This window comes from Homo sapiens, chromosome 7 (assembly GCF_000001405.40).
Source record: "Homo sapiens chromosome 7, GRCh38.p14 Primary Assembly".
NCBI lineage: Eukaryota > Metazoa > Chordata > Mammalia > Primates > Hominidae > Homo > Homo sapiens.
This window is the reverse complement of record NC_000007.14, coordinates 128,641,024-128,661,820: the sequence shown is the minus strand read 5'-3', so window position 1 is coordinate 128,661,820 and position 20,797 is coordinate 128,641,024. Positions and strand designations below refer to the sequence as shown.

The 20,797-nt window shown below is 50.2% G+C and overlaps 1 long non-coding RNA gene and 1 pseudogene across 1 annotated transcript; one reads left to right on the top strand and one right to left on the bottom strand.

The window, feature by feature from the left end:
* Nucleotides 1-822: 822 nt before the first annotated feature.
* On the bottom strand, nucleotides 823-20,580 carry LINC01000 (long intergenic non-protein coding RNA 1000). Its single transcript, NR_024368.1, has 5 exons — nucleotides 20,442-20,580; nucleotides 19,540-19,604; nucleotides 12,839-13,029; nucleotides 10,726-10,783; nucleotides 823-10,632 (listed from the first exon to the last, which is right to left on the bottom strand). It is a non-coding gene; the product is annotated as a long intergenic non-protein coding RNA 1000 (long non-coding RNA).
* CICP14 (capicua transcriptional repressor pseudogene 14) lies at nucleotides 2,991-6,770 on the top strand (annotated as a pseudogene).
* Nucleotides 20,581-20,797: the final 217 nt, after the last annotated feature.

The following is a 20,797-nucleotide window of genomic DNA, read 5'->3' as shown; positions in this document are numbered from 1 at the left end:
GTCCATATCATTATCAGCATTTTTGGCAAAGCCATTCAACAAGTCTCTAGAAAGTTCCAAGCTTTTCCACATTTTCCTGTCTTTTTCTGAGCCCTCAAAACTGTTCCAACCTCTGCCTATTACCCAGTTCCAAAGTCGTTTCCACATTTTCAGATATCTTTTCAGAACATCCCACTCCTGGTACCAATTTACTGTATTAGTCCGTTTTCATGCTGCCGATAAAGACATACCCGAGACTGGGTAATTTACAAAGAAAAGAAGTTTAATTGAACTTACAATTCCATATGGCTGGGGAAGCTTCACAGTCATGATGGAAGGCAAGAAGGAGCAAGTCACATCTTACATAAATGGTAGCAGGCAAAAAGTGAGATCTCATGCAGGGGAGCTCCTCTTTTTAAAACCATCAGATCTCAGCTGGGCACAGTGGCTCACGCCTGTAATCCCAGCACTTTGGGAAGCTGAGACAGGCAGATTATCTGAAGTCAGGACTTCAAGGCCAGCCTGGCCAACATGGTGAAATCCCCTCTCTACTAAAAATACAAAAATTAGCCAGGCATGGTGGCAGGCAACTGTAATCCCAACTACTTGGGAGGCTGAGACAGGAGAATCACTTGAACCCGGGAGGCAGAGGCTGCAGTGAGCTGAGATTGTACCACTTCACACCAGCCTGGGTGACAGAGTGAGACTCTGTCTTGGAAAAAAAAAAAAAAAAAAAAAAAAAAAAAATCAGATCTTGTGAGACTTATTTACTATCATAAGAACAGCACAGGAAAGAATTGATTGCCCCCATCATTCATGGACCTTCCACCAGGTCCCTCCCACAACACATAGGAATTCAAGATGAGATTTGGGTGGGGACACAGCTAAACCATATCAGAGGTTGCAGTGAGCTGAGATCGCACCACTGCACACCAGTCTGCACGACAGAGCAAGATTCCATCTCAAAATAAATAAATAAATTCACAGTGCATTAATACTATATCAATATCACAAACATACCATTTGGTATAAAAATATAATTGCTGATTCATCATTTGCAGATTTGTACTCTATTACCACTCATTTTTTAAAATCTTTAATATTTCCATTTTTATAGTAACAAAAACCCAAACAGTAATATAATTGGCCCCAAATCTATCCTTCCTGTTTCCTTTTAACATTGTAATTGGTTCTCGTTTTTTTTCTAAACTTTTAAAAATTAAAAAGAAATAAAATCATAATTGGTACTCTGAAATGAATATGCAAAACTAAATAATTTTTAGACTCCTATATATTTGCTTTCTTGATTTGGTAAAGTTCTTGTAACTATTAAGGCCCCAGGAACATTTTATCTTCAGGAAATCTTGTTAGCCACAGTTAAACCTCTCAAACTTTCTAGATAATATTACTTTAGGAAGATTTTCAGGTCACTCTTTTACTTCTCCCTAATGCATATTCATACATGTGCACAGGCAGACTTTTAAGTGTTCTATCACATGAAATTCTGATTCCTTCCTTTCCATTCCAATTTAACACTGTATAACTGTCTTGGCAGTGATGTGTTATTGTTTTATTGTAGAGGTTTGTATAATAAAGGCCTGTACAACATGTACCCTTTGATTATGCCCACATCCACCTCCATAGCAACAAAGACCCTTGTAAGTGACCTGAAAAGGAAAAGGCAACTGTGGTGGCCAGTCTCCCAGAGGACCCCAGTGATCGTCACCTCCTGGTCTTTGGAGCAGTCTCCAAGTCCCTATCCATAACATATCAGGGTTGGTCTGTGTGACTGAAAGGATAAGGCACAAGTAGTGATATGTCCCTTCCAAGATTAGGTTATAAAAGGCACTGCAGCTTTCATCTTGGTAGTTTTTTCTCTCTCCGTACCACCCTCACCTTGGCCCTCGCCCTCCTGTCATTCCACCCAAGGGGAAGCCATCTGCCATGTCATGAGCAGCCTTGTGGAGAATCCTCACAGCTAAATTTTATTTTAAGTAAAATAAAATTTAGTAATTTCTATTTTAAGAAGCGTGTGTGAATACTCTCCCTTTCATCTCTGTATTACTCTAGCTACCTATGTCTTTAAAAAATAAATAAATAAAAATAAAAAATAAAAAACAGGGTCTCACACTGTTGTTCAGGCTGGAGTGCAGTGGTGCGATCATGGCTCACTGCAGCTGTGACTTCCCGGGCTCAAGTGATCCTCCCACCTCAGCATCCCAGGTAGCTGGGACTACAGGTGCGTGCCACCATGCTCAGCTAATTTTTGCATTTTTTGTAGAGATGGTGTCTCATTATGTTACCCAGGCTGGTCTTGAACTCCTGGGCTCAAGCGATCCTGAAACCTTGGCCTCCCAGAGTGCTGGGATTATAGGTATGAGCCACCACTAGGTCTACTTTAAAAGAAATGCTTAATGGAGTTTTTCAAGTAAAAATGAAAGAAAGCAGCTGGGTGTGGTGGCTCATGCCTGTAATCCCAGCATTTTGGGAGGCCAAGGAGGGTGGATCACTTGAGGTCAGGAGGTCAAGTCCAGCCAGGCCAACATGGCAAAAACCCACGCCTTCTAAAAATGCAAAAAATTAACCAGGTGTGGTGGCGGGTGCCTGTAATCCCAACTACTCAGGGGGCTGAGGCAGGAGAATCAATTAAACCATGAAGCAGAGGTTGCAGTGAGCCGAGATCACACCACTGCCCTCCAGCCTGGGCGACAGCAACACTCTGTCTCAAAAAGAAAAAAAAAAAGAATGCTAATCAATCACATGAAAGCATAAGAAAATATATAATATTCAGCAGTAAAGGTGCATATACATGGGAGGCTGAGGCCGGAGAATTGCTTGAACCCAGGAAGTGGAGGTTTCAGTGAGCTGAGATCGCACCACTGCACTCCAGCCTGCCAAACTGCATCTCAAAAAAAAAAAAAACAAAAACAAAAACTTGAGGCCTGGCCTCATGCTCCCCTTCCATCCCCACTTCCGTGGGTCCAAGCTGCCTTGGCTGAGGAGGGGGCTGAGGAGGTGTGAGCCCCTGCCAGGAACCCCCTGCCCAGACCATGTACTTGGCCCACAGGCCCCTGATGTCTGCGTCCAGCGAGGCCTCCAGTGGCGTCAGCATGTTTGTGTGGAGGAACGTGGAACCTTGCTCTGTGGCTGTGTTCTCCTGGTACTCTGTCCCCTTCCTGACCCCTCCCTGCAGCTATGTGAGGTCCAGCAACCTGCCAGTCACTCAGTGGCCTCCAACCAGAGCAAAGAACCTGCCAAGTCAGCAGCTGTTGCTCATGAGTGTCCACCAGGTGGGACAGGGAGTGCTGACCCTGGGTGGCCCCCTGGAGCCACCTGCCCTGAAAGCCCAGGGCCCGCAACCCCACACACTTTGGGGGTGGTGGAACCTGGTAAAAGCTCACCTCCCACCATGGAGGAGGAGCCCTGGGCCCCTCAGGGGAGTCCCTGCTGGACAGTGAGACAGAGAATGACCATGATGATGCTTTCCTCTCCATCATGTCTCCTGACACCCAGTTGCCTCTACCAGCCAGATGATGTCAGGCCCAGTCCCTCAGTGCCCTGCGCAAGGAACAGGACTCATCTTCTGAGAAGGATGGATGCAGCCCCAACAAATGGGACAAGGACCACATCCGGTGGCCCATGAGTGGCGGTCATGATCTTCAGCAAGCGGCACCAGGCCCTGGCAGGGCGCACCAGGGTCACCCCAACCAGGACAACCGGACCGTCAGCCAGATGCTGAGCAAGCGGTGGTACACCCTGGGGCCCAATGAGACGCAGAAATACCACGACCTGGCCTTCCAGGTGAAGGTGGCCCACTTGCAACAAGGACCGAAAGAAGTCCAGCTCAGAGGCCAAGCCCACAAGCCAGGGGCTAGCAGGAGTGTAACAAGGGCTCGTGGGAGCGGAGAATATCAGAGACGGGCACTGCCACTGCCCCTGGGGTGTCCTCTGAACTCCTGTCAGTTGCAGCCCAAACACTCCAGAGCTCGGATACCAAGGAGCAGCTTCTGTGGGGCAGAATGGCTGCACACAGTCAGGGAACCTGGCTTAGCCTGGCCCAAGCCTTCTCCCACAGTGGGGTACACAGCCTGGACGGCAGGGAAATAGACCGTCAGGCACTACGGGAACTGACACAGGTGGTGTCTGGCACTGCATCATACTCTGGCCCAAAGCCTTCTACTCAGTATGGAGCTCCAGGCCACTTTGCAGCCCCTGGTGAGGGAGGTGACCAGTGGGCAGCCCTGCTGCTGCCCACCTGAGCTGCTCATTCCCAGCACATGGCCAGTGAGGACATAGCAAGTGACGAGGAGCACACGGTCATCCATGAGGAGGAGGGGGTGATGATGTCATTGCTGATGATGGCTTTAGCACCACTGACACCGATCTCAAGTTCAAGGAGTGGGTGACCGACTGAGAGTGGGGACAACTCTGGGGAGGAGCCAGAGGGCAACAAGGGCTTTGGTGGGAAGGTATTTGCACCTGTCATTCCTTCCTCCTTTACTCCTGCCGCCCCTTGCTGGATCCTGAGCCCCCAGGGTCCCCCGATCCACCTGCAGCTTTTGGCAAAGTCTATGGTCCCACCTTGTCCTCCTCCTACACATACTCGGATGCTTCCTCCTCAACCTTGGCACCCACCTCCTTCTTACTGGGCCCAGGAGCCTTCAATGCCCAGGAGTCTGGTCAAGGCAGCAGAGCGGGCCCCCTACGGCCCCTACCCCTGGGGATGGGGGCCCAGGGACGCCTTCCAAGGTGACCTGTTTCCTCCCAATGGATCCTGCCACCTTCTGGTGCAAGAGACCTGAAAGTGTGGGCGACCTGGAGCTACCAGGCTCCTCAGTCATCAGGGTCCCTCCCAACACTAAGGCTTTCCTAGGCAGGAGCTGGGCTGAGCCACCCGGGGGGCAGAGCCTGAAGAGAAACTGACTGGGCTTTCGGGGTCGGGGCAGAGGGAACCCCACGGACATGGATCCCACACTGGAGGACCCCACCACGCCCAAATGCAAGATGAGAAGATGCTCCAGCTGCAGTCCAAAGCCCAACACCCCCAAGTGTGCCATGTGTGATGGGGACAGCTTCCCCTTTGCCTGTACAGGTGGAGAAGCCAAGGACAGGCTCAGGGAACCGGAGACCGAGAAGGCGCTGTCCTCTTCACTGCACGTGCCCTGGACCAGTGCCGGCCCTGATCATGCAGCTCTTCCAGGCCCACTGCTTCTTCCTGTCCACTAGGCCACAGCCGCCCTCCAGGCCCACTATGCACACATCTTCCCCTCCAAGGTTTGTTCTGCCCCTGCCCTGACTCCCAGCCCTGTGGGGGTCCTGACCGCACCTCACCTGGCTCAGACTCTTGACGCTGCCCTGGCTGCCCCACCACTGCCTCTGCCCGAGAGTCACGTGAGGCTGAGAGTAGGGGCAGGGGCAGCAGTGGTGCCAGTTGGGGGGCGGTCCAGTGGGAGGAGCCTCAGCCTCACGGGCTGCTCCGTGGGACTGATGACTGCATGATCTTCTGGGCACCTCACGGATCTTCAACTGCAGGTGAAACGGATGCTGGTGGTGGGTGCAGGGCCGCTGGGAGCTGCTGCATGGTTCCCAGAGGCTGGACTGGGGCAGGTGCCAACTGAAGCTGCTGGGGCAGCATGGGCAGGATGTTCTGCACACAAACCTTGGAGAAGACGATGTGTGCATAGCGGGTCCACTGCTGCTGCCCCTGCCCTGACTCCCAGCCCTGCCTGACCCCACCTCAACCTGCTCAGGCTCTGGCGCAACCCTGGCTGCCCTGCCACTGCCTCTGCCCCAGAGTTGGGGCCTTGACAGCCTGGTTGGAAGGGGACACCCCAGCCCTGCCTAAACACCTGGGGGGTCTCCATAACTACCACAGGCAGGTGGGCAACCCCAAAGATCCCAGGACTCACAGTACCCCCTGAGAACATGGACAGTATGTGGGGGTAGCAATGGAGGGCAGGATGGTTATCTTCTCCCAGGTAAAGCCATTTAATCCTTTCAGTTTGGGACGGAGTAAGGCCTGCCTTTTTTTTTTTTTTTTTTTTTTTTTGAGACCGAGTCTTGCTCTGTCGCCCAGGCTGGAGTGCAGTGGTGCGATCTTGGCTCACTGCAAACTCTTCCCACCGGGTTCACGCCATTCTCCTGCCTCAGCCTTCCGGGTAGCTAGGATTACAGGTGCACGCTACCACGTCCGGCTAATTTTTGTATTTTTAGTACAGACGGGGCTTCATCATCTTGGCCAGGCTGATTTCGATCTCCTGACATCGTGATCTGCCTGCCTCCCCCTCCCAAAGTGCTGGGATTACAGGCGTGAGCCACCACGCCTGGCCAAGGCCTGCTCCTCTTATCTATACCCCCTACCCCTGCAGCTGTGCCGGGGGAAAGCTGGGCAGTTTCCCTCCTCCGAGCCCCTGTACATACCATGAATTGTGGGACCTTCAGAGCTTTTCACTTTTCGGAAAATAGCTCCTGCTGGGGCTACAAGATGGAGTGTGAAGAGGGCCTTGGGCCACAGGGAGGCGCCTGTGGACTAAGGGGAGTTCATGCACCCCTTCTTTCCCCAGAGGGGCTGGACTCAGGTGAGTATGGGGGTGGGGGCTCCTGCACTTCGACACAGGCAGCGGAAGGGTTTTCTCCCCATTCCCTCTGCACTCCCAACTTGAGCTATACTTTTTAAGAAAGTGATTCACCCTGCCTTTGCCCCCTTCCCCAGAACAGAACACGTTGATCATGGGCGATATTTTTCATTGTGCCAAAAAGTTGCCATGACCGTCATTAAACCTGTTTAACACCAAATAATAAGGAAAATAAAACAAAAAGTTCGGGCATGGTGCAGAAACTCACTCCAAATAAATTACCTACCAAAATATATAATGGTGGAAATATTCCAAAATTCCATATTTTGGGATTTATACACAAAAGATAAACAAATTAGAGGCCAAGAGGCTGCCGGAAGGGAAAAACGGGGCCTGGAAAGGCCGTTGTGAGGAATGAGCTTGGCCTAAAGAGGCCACTGGCAGGCAGTAGCTGGACCTGCCGAAGTGGCCGAAAGGCAGGAGCTTTGGACGGGGGAGGCCGCAGTGAGGCGAGAGCTAGCTGGGCGTGGAGAGTCCACTGTGAGGCCAAGGCCAAGGCCAGGCCCGTGCAGGCCTTTGAGAGGCAGGAGGCCGGGCCTGCAAAGGCCGACTGGAGATCAAGTTCTGCGCCTGAAGAGGCTGCCAAAAGTCAAAAGCGGGGCCTGGGAAGGCCGCCGAGAGCCATGAACTGGGCTGGGCCGAAAGAGGCCACTGGGAGGCAGGAAGAGCTGGGCCTGGAGAGGCTGACTCGAGGAAGTTTTGCACCTGGAGAGGCCGCCGAGAGGACGGAGCTGGGCCCGGGGAGGCCGACTTGCTGCTCTTCCAGGCCCACTTCCAGGCCGACTTGAGGACGACTTGGGCCTGCAGAGGCCGCTGGGAGGCCGGAGCTGGGCCTGGAGAGGCCGACTTCGGGACGATTTGGGCCTGCAGAGGCCACCGGGAGGCCCAAGCTGGGCCTAGAGAAGCCCACCAACCGGAGGCCGTTTGGGGCCTGCAGATGCCATCGGAGGGCAGGAGCTGAGCCTGGAGAGGCCACCGTGAGGCCTGAGCTGGGCCTGGGGAGCTTGGCTTAGGGAAGTTGTGGGCCTACCAGGGCCTCTGGGAGCTGGGCAGGAGCTGAGTCCAAAGACGTTGTTGGGACCTGGAGTCGGGCCAGAGTCCGGCCTGGAGACGCAGCCGGGAGGAAGAGCTGGGCCCGGAGAGGACGCTGGGAGGCTGCAAGTGGGTCTGAGAGGCCGACTTGAGGAGGCCCGGCCTCTGCCTCCCGCATGGCCCAGCTGTTCCTCCTGGCTGCATCTCCCGCCTCCCAGCAAACAAGCTCTTTTGGCTCAGCTCCCGCCGGCCTTTGTAGACCCCGAAGTTTCTGCAACCAAGCTCTTCAGACCCACATCCCTTCTCCCAGTGACTGAACAGTCCCAGCTCCAGCTGGAGAAGGGTGTCTGCAGACCCCGCTGTTGCCTCCCAGGGGAGTCTCCAGGCCCAGCTCTCGCCCCACCGCGACCTCCCAGGCCCAAGTCCCTGCCTACCTCCCAGCAGCCCGCGTGCGACCCTGCTCCTCCCTCACGGTGGCCTGTTGAGGCAGGGGCTCACACTGACCTCTCTCAGCGTGGGAGGGGCCGGTGTGAGGCAAGGGGCTCAGGCTGACCTCTGTCCGCGTGGGAGGGGCCGGTGTGAGGCAAGGGGCTCAGGCTGACCTCTGTCCGCGTGGGAGGGTGGGCATCAACAGGCCACCGTGAGAGAGGAGCTGGGCCGCACGTGGGCTGCTGGGAGGCAGGCAGGGACTTGGCCCCGGGAGGCCGCCGTGGGGGCAAGAGCTGCGCCTGGAGAGGCCCCTGGTAGGCAAGGGCGGGGCCTGCAGAGGCTGTTCTCCAACCAGTGCTGGGCCTGTACAGGCCACCAGGAGGCAGGAGGTGGGCCCTCAGAGCTTGGCTGGAGAAAGTTCGGGGCCTAGAAAGGCGGTTGGGAGCTGGGCAGGAGTTGAGCCAAAAGAGCTTGCTTACTTGCTGGGAGGCAGGGCCAGGAGAGGCCGACTTCAGGACAACTTGGGCCTGCAGCGGTCGCCGGGAGGCCCAAGCTTGGCGTGGAGGAGCCCACCGACCGGAGACCATTTGGGGCCTGGAGATGCCATCGGAGGGCAGGAGCTCATCCTGGAGAGGCCACCGTGAGGCCTGACCTGGGCCTGGGGAGCTTGGCTTGAGGAAGCTGTGGGCCGACCAATGCCGCCAGGAGATGGGTAGGCACTGAGTCCAAAGAGGTTGTTGAGAGGCAGGAGTCGGGCCTGGAGACGCAACCAGGAAGAAGAGCTGGGCCCGGAGAGGACGCCCGGAGGGTGCAAGTGGCTCTGGAGAGGCCGACTTGAGGAGGTTCTGGGCCCGGAGAGGCCGCCGGAAGGGAAAAACTGGGCCTGGAAAGGCCGTTGTGAGGAACGAGCCCCATGGGCCTGAAGAGGCCACTGGCAGGTGGGAGCTGGGCCTGCCGAAGCGGCCGAGAGGCAGGAGCTTTGGACTCGGGAGGCCGCAATGAGGCGACAGCTAGCTGGGCGTGGAGAGTCCGCTGTGAGGCAGAGGCTGGGCCTGTGCAGGCCTTCGGGAGGCAGGAGGCTGGGCCTTGTCGAGGCCTGCAGAGGCCACCGAAAGTCAAAAGCGGGGCTTGGGAAGGCCGCCGGGAGGCATGAGCTGGGCTGGGCCGAAAGAGGCCACTGGGAGGCAGGAGGAGCTGGGCCTGGAGAGGCTGCCGAAAGGCAGGAGCTTCGACTGAGGATGCCACAGTGAGACACCATCTGGGTCTGGAGGGTCCACTGTGAGGCAGAGGCTGGCCTGTAGAGTCCGACAGTAGACAGAAGTTGGGCAAAAGGCTGATTTGAGGAAGTTTTGGGCTTCAAGAGTCAGCCACGAGGCAGGCACTAGGCCTGGAAATGGCCCGACAGTCATGAGTTGGGCCTAAATGGGCCACTGTGAGGGAGGAGCTATGCCTGTTGAGGCTGCTGGCAGGCAGGCAGAAATTTGGCCTGGGGCAGCTGCCATGAGGCAAGAGCTGGGCCTGGAAAAAGCCCCTGGGAGGCAAGAGCAGGGCCTGCAGAGGCTGTTCTCAAGTCAAAGCTGGGCCTGTTCATGCCACTGGGAAGCAGAAGGTGGGCCTGGAGAGTTTGACTTGAGGAAGTTTTGGGCCTACATTGGCCGCCATGAGCTGGACAGGAACTGGGCCAAAAAAGGCTGTTGTGAGGCAGCAGTTGTGCCTGTAGACCCAGCCAAGAGGAAGAGGTGGGCCTGGAGAAGCCCCCATGACGTAGAGGTTGGGCCTGTAGACGCTGACAGGAGGCAGGAGCTGGGCCTGGAAAGGTCAACTTGAGGAGATTTTGGGCCTTCATAGGCCACCAGGAGGCAGCAGTTGGGACTACAGAGTCTGACTTGAGTAAGTTTTGGGCCCGGAGATGACGTCCTGGGACAGGAGTTGGGCCTGGAGAGGCCACCGTGAGGCATAAGCTGCATGTAGAGAGGCCCTGGGCCTGTCTAGGCTGCTGGGAGACAGGCAGGAATCTGGCCAGGGAAGGTTGCCATGAGACAAAAGTTGGGCCTGGAAAGGCCCTTGTGAAGCATGAGCTTGGCCTAAAGAGGCCACTGGGTGGCAGGAGCTGGGTGTGTAGAAGCTGCTGAAAGGTTGGGAGCTTGGCTTGGGGGGTCCACAGTGAGGCAGATGCTGGGCGTGAAGAATCTGCTGTGAGGCAGATGTTGGGACTGTAGAGGCCGACGGGAGGCAGAGGCTGGGCCTGGAGGGGCCACCAAGATGCAGGAGCTGGGCCTGGAGAGGCTGCAAAGAAGCATGAGCTGGGCCTGGTGAGGTCGACTTGAGAAAGTTCAGGGCCTGGAGAGAAGGCTGGGAGGCAGGAGCTGGGTCTAAAGAGGCCATTGTAACGATGGAGCTGTGCCTGTGGAGGCTGTTGTGGGGCAGTAGGCTCATCTGCGGAGACTGCCGTGACGTAGGGTATGGGCCTAAATAGGCCATTGTGAGTCATGAGCTTGGTCTGTAGAGGCTGATTGGAGAAAGTTCTGGGCCTGGAGAGGCTGCCGGGAGGTAGGAGCTGGGCCAAAAGATGTAAGCACATTTGCATTTATTAGGCACTTTATTTCCATTATTACACTGTAATATATAATAAAATAATTATAGAACTCACCATAATGTAGAATCAGTGGGCGTCTTAAGCTTGTTTTCCTGCAACTGGATGGTCCCACCTGAGCGTGATGGGAGAAAGTGACAGATCAATAGGTATTAGATTCTCATAAGGACAGCGCAACCTAGATCTCTCACATGCACAGTTCACAACAGGGTGCGTTCTCCTATGAGAATCTAATGCTGCTGCTGATCTGAGAAGGTGGAGCTCAGGCGGGAATGTGAGCAAAGGGGAGTGGCTGTAAATACAGACGAAGCTTCCCTCACTCCCTCACTCGACACCACTCACCTCCTGCTGTGTGGTTCCTTGTGGCTCCATGGCTCAGGGGTTGGGGACCCCTGCTCAAGTGCATCCAAAACGACCCTTCCCACACCAGTCTTCACAGTGGTCAAGTGCAGCAACCACTTAGCTCCCAAGGCATGTGCCTCAGCTGGCATTTCGTCACAATCAACAGTAAGTGGTAGCTTGAGTCACTGTGAGGTCACCTACTGGAAATCACCAGCATCCCATTTCCCACTGGCAAAGAGCTCAGCACTGCCCCCTGGGAAACCAAACCTATGCCCAAATCCCATCTGTGTGGGTTTATCTCCTGGGACCCTTCCTAACATATTAGTCAGAGTCCAATCAGGAAGCATAAACCACTCAAAAGTTTAAAGTGGTAAAATTTAATATGGAGAATTATTCATTATAACAGGTGAACAGCATAATGAGAGATTGGCTAGCACAAAGTAAAGAGAACTCTAGAGAATATAGGACTAGCCCAGGCCAGGCATGGTGGCTCATGCCTGAAATTCCAGCAATTTGAGAAGCTAATGCAGGAGGATTGCTTAAGGCCAGGAGCTAGAGACCGGTCTGGACAACACAGTGAGACCCTGTCTCTATCCAAAAGAAGAAAAAAGTTAGCTGGGGGTGGTGGTGCACACTTGTAGTCCCAGCTACTCGGAATGCGAAGTTTGAGCCTGGGAGGTCAAGGCTGCAGTGTGGCATGATTATGCCACTACAGTCCAGCCTGGTGACAGAGCAAGACCCTGTCTCAAAGAACCAAACAACAACAACCATTTACAGACAGAAAAGAAATAGAGCTAATAAGCTGAGGAAAGATGTTGAAATGTGACAAGTAAAGTAATATGAGTTCTTTTATCTATGTAAAATAATCAAACAAAAAATGACTTACTAAATTATAATACCCTGTGCTGGCAAAGGTGCAGTGAAATGGGCACTTTCTTATACTATGAGGGGTGTTTAAATTGTGTATAAGCCTTCCAGGGTAAAGCCTGTCAATTTTTTAAAATAATGGAGACAGGGTCTCACCATACTGCCATACTGCCTCCTCCAACTCTTGGCCTCAAGCAATCCTCCTCTCTTAGCCTCCCAAAGTGCTAAGATTATAGCTGGGAGGCACCCAAAACCCTGTCAATTTACATCAAGGGTAATGAGAATGTCCATTCACCATGACTCACAGTAATCTTACTTCTGGGGAGACAATTCAATCTAAACAAAAGGTCATCTGTACACACACAGTAAAAATCTGGGAGTAACTGAAGACAGAGTTGGTAAGTGAAATAAGAAACAGTTATAAGAAATTAAACTATGGTATCAATAGGCACCTGGTAAAAGGTCAGTTGATATTAGCTGCTACTTTTTTGTTGTTTTGAGACAGGGTCTCACTCTGTCACCCAGGCTGGAGTGCAGAGGCCTGATCATGACTCACTGCGGTCTCAGCCTCCCTGGGCTCAAGTGATCCTCCCACCTCAGCCTCCCAAGTAGCTGGGACTACAGGAACATGCCACCACACTAGGCTAATTCATGTATTTTTCTGTAGGGATGGTGACTCCCTTTGTTTCCAAGGCCTATCGCAAACTCTTGGCCTCAAGCCATCCTCCTGCCTCAGCCTCCCAAAGTGTTGCGATTACCAGTGTGAGCCACCACACCTGGCCAGCTGCTACTTTTATCAATATTATTATTATTCCACTCAATTAAAAATTATTATTTTCAAGGCTATGCAACAGTATGTATCCTACAGCGTAATTGTAAAAACATATACAGTCGTCCCTCAGTATACAGAATTAGTTCCAGCCCCCCATCTCTGCATATACCAAAATCCATGCTTACTCACGTTTCACTGTCACCCCTCTGGAATCCACGTATACGAAAATTCCAAATATTAGTTGGGCATAGTGGCAAGCACCTGTAGTCTCAGCCACGTGGGAGGTTGAGATGGGAGGATCGCTTCAGCCTGGAAGGTTGAGGCTGCAGTCAGCTGTGATAGCACTACTACACTCCAGCCTTGGACAACAGATGGAGACCCTGTCTCAGAAAAAAAACAAAATAAAACAGGTTAGAAATTGTAATGAGGTCTGCTGGGCAAAATTCCATATAAGCAAAGTATAAATTAATAAAGCAAATCGTGACAAATTAGTACGATTGACTTTCTGGAGTTTCTGACAATAAAAGTAAGGAAAATGCAGAACACAAAGACAGAGAGTAAAAAGAGAAATTAGGAAAGCATTCTACATGTTGAATAGGAAGACACTGGCCATGTTCGTGCAGCGGCAGTATGTCGTGACATGACATACCTTGGAGAGAAGTTAACAGATGAGGAAGTTGATAAAAATCATCAGAGAAGCAAAATACTGGTAGCGACACTCAAGTAAAACATGAAATTTCCATAACTTATGTCAGCAAAGTGGGAATATTGTACAGTGTGTGTTGAAGTTCCTATACAACATTGTTTATCTGCCTTTTGTTTGTTTGTAAGGAATGTATATACTAAAAGTTCTTCTTGCTGTCAAAAGAATATGTGTGAATAAGTCATTTTAACTTATTCTTCTGCTTTTCTTTTATCTTCCTGCCATCATCCCACAGCCTTACTTTAGAAATTTTTTTTTTAGAAAATTGAACAAGTGCTCCTTGTGGTGGCACATGCCTCGAGGATGGGAGGCAGGGGTGGAAGGGTCACTTGAGGCCATTAGTTTGACACCAGCCTGGCCAACAAAGTGAGACCCCATGTCTACAAAACAATTTAAAAATTAGCCAAGTATCGTCATGTATACCTACAGTCCTAGCTACTCAGGAGGCTCAGGTAGGAGGATCCTTAGCCCAGGAGTTCAAGGCTGCAGTGAGCTGTGATAGCACTACTGTAGTCAAGCCTGGGTGACAGGGTGAGACCCCATCTCCTAAAATAAAAAACAAAGAAAAAAAATAGTTCAAGTAGCAAGTTGTATGTGGCTTACTCTGAATATTTCTAAACTAGAAATTCTCAGTCTTTCGGGGTCTAACATCCCTTTACATTTTTTAACTTTATTGAAGATCTCTAAGACTATTTCTTTCTGTAGATAATTATATTAAAACTAGAAAATAAGACACAAGTTTTTAAATATTATTCATCACATATTAAAGCCATTACATGTTGATATAATACAAGATTTTAAAAATATTTAATATTCATTACATATTAATAATAAAACCATTACATGTTGATATAATACTTTTTTTTTTTCTTTGAGACAAAGTCTTGTTCTTTTGCCCAGGCTGGAGTGAAGTGGCGCAATCTCAGCTCATTGCAACCTCCGCCCCGCAGGTTCAAGCGATTCTCCTACCTCAGCCTCCCAAGTAGCTGGGATTACAGGCGCCCACTACCATGTCCAGCTAATTATTGTATTTTCTTAGTAGAGAAGGAGTTTCGCCATGTTGGCAAGGCTGGTCTTGAACTCTTGACCTCAGGTGATCCACCCGCCTGGGTCTCCCTAAGTGCTGGGATTACAGGTGTGAGCCACCACACCCACCCCGATTAATATATGTTTTAAAGCACTGATTAGTCAGGCAACAACACCGGGCAGGGGTCTCCTCATTCCCAGCGATGCAAACCCCACTGCACGGCTAAGGGGTTGCAAGGGCTGCAGAGCCAAAAGGCTCTGACTTGAGATATTATTTCACTTGTATTTTTATTTGTATTGTGAGACAGGTCCCGCTCTGTCACCCAGACTGGAGTGCAGCTGTGCACTTACAGCTCGCTGCAGCCTCGACCTCCTGGGCTCAAGCCAGCTTCCTGCCTCAGCTCCCCAGTAGCTGGTAGTACAGTTGAGTGTCACCATGCCTGGTTATTTTTTTAATTTTTTTGTAGAGTGAGGGGTATTGCTGTGTTGCCCAAGCTGGCCTCAAACTCCTGACCTCAAGAGATCTGCCCACTTCAGCCTCCTGAGTAGCTGAAACTACAAGTACACATCACCATGCCTAGCTACATTTATTTAATTTTGAAAAATATTTTTGTAAAGAGCAGATCTTGCTGTGTTGTCCAGGCTGGTCTTGAACACCTGCCCTTAAAAGATACTCCCACCTCTGCTTACCAAACAGCTGGGACTACAGGCATGAGCCACTGCAATGAGCCTGAAGAAATTTCTTTAATCTAGCATCCCATACTTGGTAGGATTGGGAAAGGCAGTAGTGTTTTTTAAAATTACTTAATAATTTCAGTAACAATCAAACTCAACCTTGACCCCTGCCTTCTCTCACACCCCATATCCAGTCTGTCAGGAAATCCTGTTGACTGTCTTCGACATGTACTAAAGATCCCCACCCAGCAACTCCCTGGCCTCCTCCCCTACTTCTCCCCTCTGACCATCTCTCAACACCACCATGACCCTGGTCAGGACCACCATCATCTCCCGCCTGGATGTTGCCAAAGCTTGGCCCCCATGCTTCTACCCACATCTTCCCGTAGTCTTTCTCAACTCAGCAGCCAGAGAATGCTTTTAAATCGGGAGACAGATCATGTCGCCTCTCTGCTCAGAACCCTCCTGCAGTTCCCATCTGAGTCAGAGTAAAAGCCAAAGCCCCAGTAATAACCTCCCAGGGCTTATGTGATCTGTACTGATCCCCACCCAGCAACTCCCTGGCCCCCTCCCCTAATTCTCTCCCTCTCTCTGTCTGCTCCATGGGCCTCCTTCCAGAGCCTCAGACACACCTCAGACACTTTATTCTATTATTTCTGCCTACAATCCTCTTCCCTCAGCACCTCGGCCAGCTCCTTCCCCTCCTTCAAGTCTTTACTCAATTTTCACTTAGGAGGCCATCCCCGACCATTCTATTTAACATTGCCATCTGTCCCCATGCCCACCATGCTCATTTCTTCTTTCTTTACTTTATTCTTTCTTTTTTTCAAGATCTCACTGTCACCAAGGCTGGAGTGCAGTGGCGCAATCACAGCTCACTGCAACCTCAAATTTCCAGGCTCAAGCGATCCTCCCACCTCAGCCTCCCAAGTAGCTGGGACTCCAGGTTCATGCCACCATGCCTGGCTAAATTTTTTAGTATTTTATTTTATTTTATTTTGAGACAGAGTTTCACTCTTCTTGCCCAGGCTGTAGTGTAATGGTGCGATCCCAGCTCACTGCAACCTCCCAGATTCAAGTGATTCTCCTGCCTCAGCCTTCCAAGTAGCTGGGGTTACAGGTGTGTGCCACCACGCCCAGCTAATTTTTGTATTTTTAGTAGAGCCGGGGTTTCGCAATGTTGGCCAGGCTGGTCTTGAACTCCTGACCTCAGGTAATCTGCCCGCTTCGGCCTCCCAAAGTGCTGGAATTACAGGTGTGAGCCACCACGCCTGGCCAATTTTTTCATTTTTTGTAGAGATAAGGTCTTACTATGTTGCCCAGACTGGTCTTGGACTCCTGGCCTCAAGTGATCCTCCTGCCTAAATTCCTAAAGTGCTGGGATTACTGGCATGAGCCATCATGCCTGGCTTCATGTTCATTTCTTCTTGCTGCTGCAATATAGTTTGCAGTTTCCCATATTTAGTGGCTTAAAACACCACAAATCTACCATCTTACAGTTCTAGGGGCCAGAAACCCAAACTAGGTCTATTAAGGCTAAAGTCAAAGTGTCAGCAGGGCTGCATTCCTTCTGGAGACTCTAAAGTGTTCCCTTGGCTTTTCCAGCTTCTAGAAGCCACCCCCATTCCTTGGATCATGGCCCCTGACTCCATCTTCAAAGCCAAAAGTGAAGCATCTTCAAATCTCCCTCTCTTACCTCTGCTTTCATCACCACATCTCCCGCTACAATTCTGAATCTCCTACTCTCTTTCTTTTATAAAGACCCTTGTGATTGCTGGGCATGGTGGCTCCCACCCAGAATCCCAACACTTTGGGAGGTCAAGGCAGGAGGAATACTTGAGGCCCAAAGTTTGAAACTAGCATGAACAACACAGTGAGACCCCCACCTCTAGAAAAAAATAAAAATAAATATTAGCCCGACATGGTGGTATGCGCCTGTAGTCCCAGCTACTTGAGAGGCTGAGGTAAGACAATCGATTTAGCCCAGGAGTTTGAGATCAGCCTGGACGACATAACTAAATCTCATCTCTACAAGGACGAGGTGGGAGGATCACTTGAGCCCAGGAATTTGTGGCCAGCCTGGGCAACAAAAGAAGACCCCATCTGGCCAACATGGCCAACCTGGCCACCATGGTGAAACTCTGACTCTACAAAAATGAGCTGGGCATGGGTGACATGCCTGTGTAGTCCTAGCTACTTGGGAGGTTGAGATGGGAGGATCGCTTGATCTCAGAAGGCCAAAGCTATAGTGAGCTATGATCACATCACTGCACTCCAGCCTGGATGACACAGGGAGATTCTGTCTCAAAAAAAAGAAAAGAAATATATATTTAATCTCTGTCCCTGGTTCCTGGCACAGAGCTTCTAAAGCTCTTACAAAGACCTCAGTGATAGATGTGACAGGAACATCTTTTGTTTTAATATTTGGTCTTGGTCCCAGGTTTCTAACACAAGAGCCTCTGAGAACTTTGGGATCTCCAGCATGGTAAGAATGCATTTGGGGATGTTGTTGAGATGACTGGGTGTGGCAAGCTCCTAAATTTCTTCAAGAGGAGGGCTGATTACCATGCAACCACATGGTAAGAGGCGTGGAACTTTCAGCCTCATGCACTGAACTCCAGGAGGAAGAGGGGCTGGAGACTGACTTAATCACCAACAGCCAAATATTTTATCAATCATGCTTGCATAATAAAGCCTCCATGAACACCCTGAACGGGGTTTGCAGAGCTTTCAGGGTTGCTGGACACAGGAGATGCTGGGAGAGTCGCATGTTCAACAGAGGGCATGGGAGCTCTGTGCCCCTCCGAACTTAACTTGCCCTGGGTATCTTTCTTTTTTTTGAGACAGGATCAGGCTCTTTTGTCCAAGCTAGAGTGCAGTGGCACAATCTCAGCTTACTGTAACCTAAGCCTCCTCAGTCCCCAGCTCAAGGCATCCTCTCATCTCAGCTTCCCTAGTAGGTGGAACTCTAGGGGCACAACACCACACCGGTTATTATTATTATTTTTAAATTTTTTATAGAGACAGGTTTTCACCATGTTGCCCAGGCTGGTCTCAAACTCCTGAGTTTAAGCGATCTTCCCACCTTGGCCTCCCAAAGTGCTGAAATTACAGGCATGAGCCGCTGCATCAAGCATGCACGTCTCTTTCATTGACTGTTTCTGAGATGTATCCTTCACAATGAACCAGTAATAGGAAATGAACTGGCCAGATGTGGTGGCTCACATCTGTAATCCCAGCACTTTCAGAGGCTGAGGTGGGAGGATCACTTGAGACCAGGAATTTGTGGCCAGCCTGGCCAACACAACAAGACCCCATCCATACAAAAAATAAAAGAAACTAGCCACATGTGGTGGTGCAGGCATGTAGTCTCAGCTACTAGGGAGGCTGAGGTGGGAGAACCACTGGAGCCCAGACAATCAAGGCTGCAATGAGCTATGACTGCACCATTGCACACCAGCCTGGGCAACAAAATAAGACCCTCTCTCTCAGAAAAAAAGAAAATAAACTGTTTTTCTGAGTTCCGTAAACTGTTCTAGCAAATTATTAAACCCAAGAAGACAGTTATGGGAACCCCTGATTTGTAACAGGTCGGTCAAAAGTACAGGTGACAACTTAGGACTTGCCATTGGCATCTGAAGTGAGGATGGTCTCGTGGGACTGAGCCCCTAACTTGTGGGGTCTGTGCTAACTCGAGATAGTGTCAGAATAAAGTCATGGGATACCCAGTTAATATCCAGAGCACTGAAGAATCTGGTGTAGAAACTCCATACACACATTCAGTCGGAAGTGTGTGAGTAGAGACAAACATGGGCTTTTCTGTCACCTGTCTACCTGCTTAACTGCATAGGAGAGGCAATACGTGGTGCTCATGAACAAAGCAAACATTAAAGTCAGACCAGACCCAACATCTGACTCAGTCTTAATATCCAGGTGAGCTTGGGCAAATCATTCATTATTCCTAAGGCTTCATCACTCCATTCATAAAATGGGGATAACTGTGGCACCTACCTGTGATTCTGTGAGAATTAATGAAATATTATGCTTGGGGTTATTGTGATCATTATACCTATTCCAAACTATTTGACAAGGACAGTGATGGATGATGACATCAAAAAATCAGAAACTGCAATGAGGTCTCTCAGGCAAAATTCCACACAAGCAAATTACTGTCTCTACAAAGCATTCCTGCCACACTTAATTCACCATTCCCTGAACAAAATATGCCATCTTCGTTGTTCAGGTCTGTACAGTGCTGGTTTCCCTTCCCGGGCAGTTTGCTCCATCCCATCCCAGCCCATTCCCCATCCCTCCACCTCCCCCTTCCCTCCCCACTCTCATACAACTCTTCCTCATCTTTCAGGACTTGGCTTCAATGTCACCTTAACTGGAAGCTTCTCTCACTCTCCAGAAGAGCTTCCCATTGCACTTGATGCATGCACTATTATTTGATCATTTTTGAGTTACAGTCCAAATCTTTTTGTACCTGAATAACATGTTGCTCAGTCAGTCTCTCTTCCTGGATTCAGAGGTCTTTCATGGTAGATCCAGCTGGAAGTGACAAAAAGACATCTTTTGACATAAAGGGATGACACAGACAGACATAAGTTCTTAAACATCTTAAATGTTATGTGAAAATTAAACAGAATTCAAAGACTTAGGAGGGAAAGTTACTGCGAATGTCATAAAGGGTTAATTTGCATTTTATTTTATTTTATTTTTTGAGACAGTCTCATTCTGTCACCTAGGCTGGAGTGCAGTGGTGCAATCAGGCTCACTGCAGCCTTGACCACCTGGGCTCAAGTAATCTCACTTAATTTTTTTTTGGTTTAAGAAAGTCTTGGTTGAGGGTGGTGGCTTATGCCTGTAATCTCAGCACTTTGGGAGGCTGAGAGAGGTATATTACTTGAGGCCAAGAGTTTGAGATCAGCCTGGGCAATATATTAAGACCCTGCCTCTACCAAAAAACAGAGTGAATGTGTGGAAGACAATTTTTCCACAGACTGGGAGTGAGGGAATAATTTCAGGATGATTCAAGTGCATTACATATATTGTGCACTTTATTTCTATTATTACTACATAGTAATATATAATGAAATGATTCTACAACTCACTATAACGTAGACTCAGTGGGATCTCTGAGCTTGTTTTCCTGCAACTAGACTGTCCATCTGGGGTGATGGGAAACAGTAACAGAATATCAGGCATTAGATTCTCATAAGGAGTACACAACCTAGATCCCTCACATGCACACTTCACAACAGTTTGTGCTTCTATGAGAATAATGCTGCTGCTGATCTGACAGGACATGGAGCTCAGGTGGTCATGCAAGCGATGGGAGGGGCTAGAAATACAGATGAAGTTTCCCTTCACTCGCCTGCTGCTCACCTCCAGCTCTGTGGCCCTGTGGTTGGAGACCGCTGCTCAAGTGCATTCGAAAGGATCCATCCCATGCCATTCTTCAGAGTCATCTTTACTGCTGCAGTGGTCAACTTGTAGCACCCCTAAGCTCGCAGGACAGGTGCTTCAACTGGCATTTCATCACAATCAACAGTATGTGGTAGCCTGAGTAATTTTGAGGTCACTTACTGGAAATCACCAGCATCCCATATCCCATTAGCAAGGAGCTCAGCACTGCTCCTTGGATAACCAAACCTATTCCCAAATCCCATCTGTGTGCGTCTATCTCCTGGTACCCTTCCTAGCATCAATTCTGTATTTGCAGGAGTCCAATCAGGAGACAC